The sequence below is a fragment of the Homo sapiens genome, chromosome 3 (assembly GCF_000001405.40).
Source record: "Homo sapiens chromosome 3, GRCh38.p14 Primary Assembly".
Taxonomy (NCBI): Eukaryota; Metazoa; Chordata; class Mammalia; order Primates; family Hominidae; genus Homo; species Homo sapiens.
In genome coordinates this window covers 101197945-101207158 of record NC_000003.12, presented here as the reverse complement: position 1 = coordinate 101207158, position 9214 = coordinate 101197945, and the positions used below count along the sequence as shown (strand labels likewise).

Sequence of the window (9214 nt, the reverse complement as noted above, 5' to 3'; positions counted from 1 at the left end):
CTGTCTTTAGACAAAGACCTGTCAAGGATTGCCTTTCCTATAGGTGATGAAGACTCAGTAGTAGCTGCCTTTTGTGAAAGGAAAATACAAGTTGCATAGCTATGGTTTTATATATCTTTTGCTTTCACCTGTGTTTTGAAACATTGTATGGCTGCTTCTAACTTGTTCCTTTTTAAACCTTCCGATCCATGTCATCATTGGTCAGAGACAATATGGTATAGAAAAAAGGCAAAAAAAAGTCTGGGAAGATAGGAATTCAAATCTGGGCTTCTTCATAGACTGTGTCATATTGGGGAAGAAAATTTACCCCTCTGAGCCTCAATGTCCTAATCTTTTAATTGGGAATAATAATAAGTCCTGGCCAGAAGTGTGGCTCATGCTATAATCTCAACACCTTAGGAGGGCAAGGCAGAAGGATTGCTTCAGGCCATGAATTCAAGACAAGCCTGGGCAACATCATGAGACCCTGTCTCTACAAAAAAATTTTTAAAGAAATTATCCAGGTGTGGTGGTGCATGCAGGTAGTTCTAGCTACTCGGGAGGCTAAGGCAGGAGGATTGCTTGAGCCCAGACTTTTGAGATTGCAGTTTGTTATGGTCATGCCACTGCACTTTAGCCTGGTGATGGAGTGAGACTCCATCTCTGTATTAAAATTAACAGTAAGTCCAACCTCAAAGATATTGAATGAGATAATATTTATGAAAAATTATATCTTAAACTATAAATGCTGTGTTATAATTACTATTCATTACATCATGAGCAGATCTGGAATCCTAGAAAGCAAGGTCTCTATAAAGGAATGAAATTTATTTAAGGGACAATAAGAATTTGCAAGTGAAGCATTCCTTAACTAGGAATGCTCTTCACAGAATTAGAAATATTTTTGTTCAATATAGTGTCCTGTATCTGTTGATGTACTTGGGCATGATCAGGTTTTGCAGATTCCAAGGAGAACAATCTAGATTTGGTGCATTGAGAATGTCTACTACCTAAGGGCCACATTACCAGAGCACACCTCATTCCCTCAGTCTTGTTTACCATCATTATTTGTTGATGGTATAACCAGTGGGATCCTCTAAGTATACAGCTGATGTTCAGGCTTTGCTTCAGTGTCTTTTTTTTGTTCCCTTTTTTAAAAAATTAAATGGATTGAAGAAAAAGTTTGATTCTCATGGGTTGACACCATTTCCTTCTTTTATATATTTGGAGTTCCTTCTCGAATACCATGGGGAATTTGTTATTAGTTTCTGTAGCTGGATTATCTCAGCAGTATCTACACAGTGGCACTAGTTCTACTATCATGAAATTGATCCTTCTCAAGGGAGTTGTGGAAACACCCTTTATAAGGAGGCTCTTCCATTCAGACGAGCCATATGATATAATTGCACACCCAGTTTTGGCCATGTAAACATAAAGATCTTTATCATCTTGCAGCATGGCTGGGGATCTTAACATTTTGGATATACAGCGTTTTGTGAAAAAATATTGTGAAAGTTATCTTTATTAGTGTTTACCACGGTTGGAGTGACTTCTATTTTACTTATGGACATTTATGAGTACTGTTACAAATTCCACGTCATGCTGGGCCCAGTCTGCTTCTCCACATTCAAGGTCACTATCTGTCAGGTGAACGGCTGGCTGTGAAAATTCTTGACATCATTTCGGTGACTGTAAAGAGCATACCTCTCTGAAAGTCGTCTTTCAGAGAGTCGCCTTTCCTTTCAGATTCCTTTCCTTGCATATGTAAGCAGAACACTGTTATGACTTTGCTCAGTTGGAACAGGGATGGTGTTTCTTAATTGATCTTCAGATATCCTGCAGTTCCTCTGTTCTGATCACCCTGCTGAGAAAAGCACTTTACCAGGCTTTTTGGGTAACATTTATGTTAGGTCCTTCCCCTTTAATTTCTGTGAGGTGTAAAGTTTGTTCGGGCTTTTTCTCAGGTCATTACAAATGTCAAGATTGTTTAGCCAAGTGGCCATGACTGATGAACTCTGGATACAAGATAACCCCTTAACAATATTTTCTAAGAAAGTCTCAGTTTTGCAAAAATTACTGTGAGCAATCCAAACCTAAATTCACTGCACTGAGGAACAGGGGTAAAAACTGTTAAATCTACAAACAATTCACTGCATACATCACAATAATAAGTAATAAATAGTAACAAGAATCGCTAGGTACTAGGGTGGTTACCATTATATCTTACATTTCCTCACCCATTCTTTTGCTAATTATCAGGAAAGTATATAAAAGTCCTTTTGATCCTCACTGGTCAAAGGTAATGGACTGTATATAGATATATGAACTCCTGTGGGGGTAGACAATATACTAGTTAGGATGTAAATCACATAAAAAATGAAAACAAATGACAGAAAGAATTAAAAAGTTGTATGGATGAATGCTGCATAGGGAAATATTTTTTTTCCTACCAAAAACCTCATACATGCTAATAGAAAGAGAACGGGCTTTAAGAATATCAGAAAGAAATAACCAATTATTACTGAAGAAGCTGGTCCTGATGGAAAACATGTACTTTCTTGTTTTTGCAGTTTGGGTAGGTTCTGTGTTCTCAGTGCTGCACACACTGTTGGAAACAGAAGGGAAATTGTTGTGAAGTTTGTAAAAGTCAGGTTTAGTCATGCCCAGGTCTGGGGACTTGAGTGCTCCCTGAGCCTCACATCTTTGGAATATGTGAGAGAACAAAAGAGGTTTTGCCAAGATTGGCTTTCCTTTCAGATTTTCCCTTCACTACATTCCAGAACAGGGGAGCACATGGTGTTGGAACAGACCCACTGTCAGTTTGTTTAGAATCACATGGCAAAACGCTGTGGGTTACCAGGGCAGGCAGTTCATTTGCTACTTCTGTTCATCTCCCATCCTGAGTTTTTAGGTAGTTTGGCGAGTTTTGGTTCTTTAAGAACAGGTTTAATTCAATGTATAAAGTATTAAAACATTTTTCCTCCACTGAATGACAGTTAAACCACTTTCTCTGAGTACATAAGCTCCTCCATGGTTATAATTTAGGCAAGTTTGGAAGCTGTCATGGCATTAGGATACTTCTTAGTTACTCATCAAGTATTTATTGAGTGGCTGAAGGAACAATAATATTTTGGTAAGTACTTGAGCAAGCATTAAAGATCAATAAATCTGGGATCTGAAAGATGCCTCAGTTTTATCCAGAGAAGAAGTTAGACACTACAAGAATCAGAGTTAGTAATCATGCAAGCATAGTTTCCTGATAGATGACCAGGTGTCTTTTTAATTTTGAATATTATAGCTGGAGTGCAATTTTAAGCCTCTTACCACTTTTAGGAACTTCTAGTACAGAAAAAGGAAGATGTCCATAAGGATCTCCATGAGTGTGGACTGAACCACTTCATCAGCTGGAGAACAGGACAGCAGAGAGTATGTGCATCAACTGAAAGAGCCACAGCCTGCGGCCAGGAGGAGACTTCACATGTTGGGGATCAGGAATCGGTCCAAATGTCATAAATTCACAATGTACTTAACGCTGTGCAGTTAGAATGCTTATTCACCTAGAAAAGTCATGCCCGCCAAGTCATATTTCTAGCATAACCACAAGAATTCGAAAGCTTCCTGGATTGAATATTAGCTGGGCCCTTTCCTGGAGGAATTGTCACACAGATAGAGAAGCAGCCAGGAGTCCACATTAGCCCTGAGCCCTGAGCATCTTCTTTCTTCAACAAGTGTTTATTGAATCTTGCTGTATGCCAGGCACTGGGCAAGATGCACAGGGGACAAAGATGGATGAAGCATAGTCTGACCTTGAGGAGCTCACCAACTAGGTGGGAGACAGACATGTTCATAACTACTGATGAGAAAGTGTGATAAATTCTGTAATACTGGTTGAACAAAGTGCTGTGAGCACAGGGGAGGGAGAGTGAAGCACTAGTTAACAACAGTGAAGAATTTTTGAGTTGAGAGGGTTTTTACAGGTTACCTAGTTCTTCTACCCAATGCAGGGATACTTACCACAGCATCCCTGGCTGATGGTCATTTAGTCTTTGCTAAATTTCCTTCTAGAAGTGGCTCAATGCATTTTCAGGCGTCTCTATTAAATTAACTGATGCAAACGGTTATCTGAACATTTGTCAGGCATTGTTCTGAGTCTGCCACATCTATCATCTCATTTAGTCCTTACCTAAGGATGGGTACTTCTAATATTGCTTTTTTCCTAATGAACAACTAGTTTGCCAAGTTTACATATCCAACAATGGCTGGAACCAAGTCTTAATTCCACAGTCTGACTTCAAAGCTGTGCTCTTAACCTTCCTGATACACTCATGTGTTTCTATTCTGCCATTTGCTGAGAAAAAGAGGAAGTTAAATTTCTCTCTTTTTTGACAGCTCTTCAAATATTTCCAGAGATCATTCGTGTGTCTGTGTCACCCTTACCTGTGACATCCAACTCTTCCCTAGTCATTCACTCTAAGTTCTTTCAAATGTTCCCCAAAAGACATGTTTTTCAGACCCTTTACCATCCTAGCCATCTCTGAAGCCTCCCGTTTGTTGATGAGTCTCTTAGATGTCTACAGAATCAATACAGCATTTCAGAAGTGGTCTGTCTACCACTGAATAAAATGGATGTCGCATCTCTTTACCTGGAAAGTATTCATTTTTAGTGGCAGCCACATCACATTCTTGACTTTCAATTTGCTGTCAAGAAAGCTCATAGGTCTATTTTCCCCGCTAATTTTTTTGCCCTTAACTAAATTTATACATTATTTGCAGGATTTTTGGGAACATGCTCAATTCACCTTATTCTGAAAGGCATGTTCCTAATACCATTTTAGAAAGATTGCTTAAGCCTTAATTAGAGATTCCTTTGGTGATATTAGTCATATTAATATTCATTTGGGACCTGTGTAAATATTTTAGTGATAGTTAAGATTTAAAAACTTGAATATCCAGTCTTATAAAAGTTACAAGTCCTATCCTAACTACCACTGCAAAAACTTACATAATTTAGAAGATCATTAGATTTTCAAGGTGAACCAGATTTTAAATATAAATCCTAGGTATTTGATAGTATTGCAAAATTATTCTTGTAAAGTTACTTGAAGCATTGGTACTGATTAAGTTATTAAAAAGAAAAAATGAAGATACTTGAAGCTAAGTATACTTAAGCATAAAATATATATTACGGAAACAAAAAGAGCCACTGAATGATGAAAGGATAATTATTTTACTTTATTATTTTCATGTCAGGTGGGTAATGTGCTGACATTGTAACAAGGTTTGAGGGAAGTACATTTCACACATGCATATAAAAACCCAACCATTATGCTTATAAACCACAAAAGAATTGAGAATTGTTTTTTACACTGATTGAAGTTTGAGGAATACGGTTTGTTTTTCTAGGGCTTTCCCTGCTGGAAATGATCACCCTGCATAATGGCTATATTTTAAGTCAAATGTTATGCTCCACATTAGCAAGTTATTCATTTAATCAGGCATGGAAAACCCATCTTTCTGGGCCATATTTTTATGCTCAGGTTTAATAGTTTGCAGAATGACCTCAATAAGTTGTTTAAATCTGTATTTGGAAAGGAGTCCTCAATCAGAATTCTCAAAGAACAGCTCTTGCTCAGGTTTCTCTCTGCACTTCTTCGTTATAATTATCTGTATGTAGATCTGTCGTTCTCCAATTGTGTCCCTGGACCAGTAGCATCAGCATTGTCTGGGTCCATTCCCGAAGTGCACATCTCAGATGTCCCCCAGACCTGCTGCATCAGAAGCTAGGGGGATGGGGTCAAACACTGTGTATTTTAATATGTTTTCCATGTAATTCTGATGCTTGCTAAGTGTGAGAACCAAAGAGCTACATTGTATCAAACTTTTAAAAATTATTCAATTATGTTGGGCCAAATTCTGGTAGAACAGTATGAGGAGAAGTCTCTACTTCTACTGTGATTACAGGTGGTCAGAGAACTTGGTCATGTGCCTGGCAGAGAAACCTCACTGCTGTGTTTCCCCACTCATATAAAAGAATGAATTGTTTGCTCTTTCTTTAGGAAATCAAACTAGGTATCCTGGAGTGCCTGGCCCTAAAACTGATAGAACAGCGCTTATCTCAGCAGTCCAATCAAATTCTGCACCCTAATATAGAAAGAAATACCCTTAAGAAAAGATTCTTAAAGATAAGAAGATTCTCACTCTTTGAAAGTCTGCATGAAATAACTTAGCAACATAAATTTTAGCCAGAAGGAGCTTAGATAATTTCTTTAGTTTTATTGCTGTCAAAAGGAATATTCTGCTCAAATAGATAAGACTTTTTTTCTGATCTTAAAAGCCTCTAAAGACGGTCGCAATCACTTGTAATCACTTTGTTACTAAACTTAAAGTTTAATAGCTGTAAATGTCAGAAAATGCATTTTTTACATTTCCTATGTTATTTGCTGTGTTAAGGTCACATGGCAATTCAAGTATTGCCTAAAACCGTTTTTCATAGTTGACAGTTTGGACACTTCAGTTGCCAAATTCTGTTGTGCTTTGAAGCAGATGATAACCCTCTAGGGCTTGTGAAAACACAGCTTTGGAGAAGATAACCCTCTAGGGCTTGTGAAGGGGGGACAAATCTGACTCTGCCCAAATCAATACAGACTCTTCTCACCCCAACCCAAATCTCTTTAGTCTGAATACTGGAGGAGGGAAAATCCTTAGAGTTGAGCCATTAGCCTGTGTGTGTGTGTGTGTTTGTGTTCGTGTGTGTGGTGGGGGATATGTGTAAGGGGGGGTGCTTTCTCTCTAAAGCTAATGGGAGATACAGGGCATGCACACATTCATACATTCATGACATGGAGTAAAATAAGTAAAGTGAAATTATTTTATGTTTTACCTACTGTCTCAAGCCTGTTCAACAAACCAGTTAAAAAGACTCAAACTTTTAAAGTGCAGGTACAACGTCAAATGATACTCAAATGGATTTTTAAGAATAGAATTATCACTGTATTACTTAAGGATTACACTTGTCTTAAATATCATAGGCACTTTCAACTCAATAATTATTCCTTGTGATTTATATGTGTAAGCTATGGCAAATGGTAAAATAATAGTACACTTTTATAATGATTGGTTAAGATTTATTGTTTTGTTATCAGGGAGTTTCTGAGAACATTTTCTTCCTTTCCTATTTTTAGCTGTGATGATACTTCAGATATTATAAAATGTAGAGTTCACTTACTGGGGTAGGGTTGAATCAAGCTGATCATTCTCACTCTGGAGAGCTCTGTTAGAAAATCATTCCTTTTGGATGTGAAGGACCTCTTCAAGGAGAACTACAAACTGCTGCTCAATGAAATAAAAGAGGACACAAACAAATGGAAGAACATTCCATGCTCATGGGTAGGAAGAATCAATATCATGAAAATGGCCATACTGCCCAAGGTAATTTATAGATTCAATGCCATCCCCATCAAGCTACCAATGACTTTCTTCACAGAACTGGAAAAAACTACTTTAAAGTTCATATGGAAACAAAAAAGAGCCTGCATCACCAAGTCAATCCTAAGCCAAAAGAGCAAAGCTGCAGGCATCATGCTACCTGACTTGAAACTATACTATAAGGCTACAGTAACCAAAACAGCATGGTACTGGTACCAAAACAGAGATATAGATCAATGGAACAGAACAGAGCCCTCAGAAATAACGCCGCATATCTACAACTATCTGATCTTTGACAAACCTGAGAAAAACAAGCAATGGGGAAAGGATTCCCTATTTAATCAATGGTGCTGGGAAAACTGGCTAGCCATATGTAGAAAGCTGAAACTGGATCCCTTCCTTACACCTTATACACAAATTAATTCAAGATGGATTAAAGACTTAAACGTTAGACCTAAAACCATAAAAACCCTAGAAGAAAACCTAGCAATACCATTCAGGACATAGGCATGGGCAAGAACTTCATGTCTAAAACACCAAAAGCAATGGCAACAAAAGCCAAAATTGACAAATGGGATCTAATTAAACTAAAGAGCTTCTGCACAGCAAAAGAAACTACCATCAGAGTGAACAGGCAACCTACAAAATGGGAGAAAATTTTCGCAACCTACTCATCTGACAAAGGGCTAATATCCAGAATCTACAATGAACTCAAACAAATTTACAAGAAAAAAACAACCCCATCAAAAAGTGGGCAAAGGATATGAACAGACACTTCTCAAAAGACATTTATGCAGCCAAAAGACACATGAAAAAATGCTCATCATCACTGGCCATCAGAGAAATGCAAATCAAAACCGCAATGAGACACCATCTCACACCAGTTAGAATGGCAATCATTTAAAAGTCAGGAAACAACAGGTGCTGGAGAGGATGTGGAGAAATAGGAACACTTTTACACTGTTGGTGGGACTGTAAACTAGTTCAACCATTGTGGAAGTCAGTGTGGCGATTCCTCAGGGATCTAGAACTAGAAATATCATTTGACCCAGCCATCCCATTACTGGGTATATACCCAAAGGACTATAAATCATGCTGCTATAAAGACACATGCACACGTATGTTTATTGTGGCACTATTCACAATAGCAAAGACTTGGAACCAACCCAAATGTCCAACAATGATAGACTGGATTAAGAAAATGTGGCACATATACACCATGGAATACTACGCAGCCATAAAAAATGATGAGTTCATGTCCTTTGTAGGGACATGGATGAAATTGGAAATCATCATTCTCAGTAAACTATCGCAAGGACAAAAAACCAAACACCACATGTTCTCACTCATAGATGGGAATTGAACAATGAGAACACATGGACACAGGAAGGGGAACATCACACTCTGGGGACTGTTGTGGGGTGGGGGGAGGGGGGAGGGGTGGGGGGAGGGGGGAGATTAGGTATATCTCCTAATGCTAAATGACGAGTTAGTGGGTGCAGCACACCAGCATGGCACATGTATACATATGTAACTAACCTGCACATTGTGCACATGTACCCTAAAACTTAAAGTATAATTAAAAAAAAAAAAAAAACCATTCCTTTCACTGAGCTGAGGCAGCTCTCCTTGTACACTGTTTCCAGGACAATAAGAGACTGTCATTATGAGAGGCTCATGATGAGTCTATGACTCTCTGTAGAGATAAGGAAAAGAAGAAAATATTTTTTCCATTTCACAGCCAAGAACAGACACAGACACAAGCACCATAACAGAGGGGACAGGATTCAAATTATTGAGTAGGGATTTT

The 9214-nt window shown here is 38.2% G+C and overlaps 1 non-coding gene across 1 annotated transcript, besides 1 other annotated feature; it reads right to left on the bottom strand.

The window, feature by feature from the left end:
* Nucleotides 1-5223: 5223 nt before the first annotated feature.
* LOC124906356 (small nucleolar RNA U13) lies at nucleotides 5224-5327 on the bottom strand. The gene has a single exon (XR_007096324.1). It is a non-coding gene; the product is annotated as a small nucleolar RNA U13 (small nucleolar RNA).
* Nucleotides 8319-8820: an enhancer, noted in NCBI's record as "OCT4 hESC enhancer chr3:100917183-100917684 (GRCh37/hg19 assembly coordinates)". NCBI's record gives its function as "activates a minimal SCP1, AML or CMV promoter by ChIP-STARR-seq in naive H9 embryonic stem cells {active_cell/tissue: H9 hESC(naive)}" and the evidence as "EXISTENCE:reporter gene assay evidence [ECO:0000049][PMID:30033119]".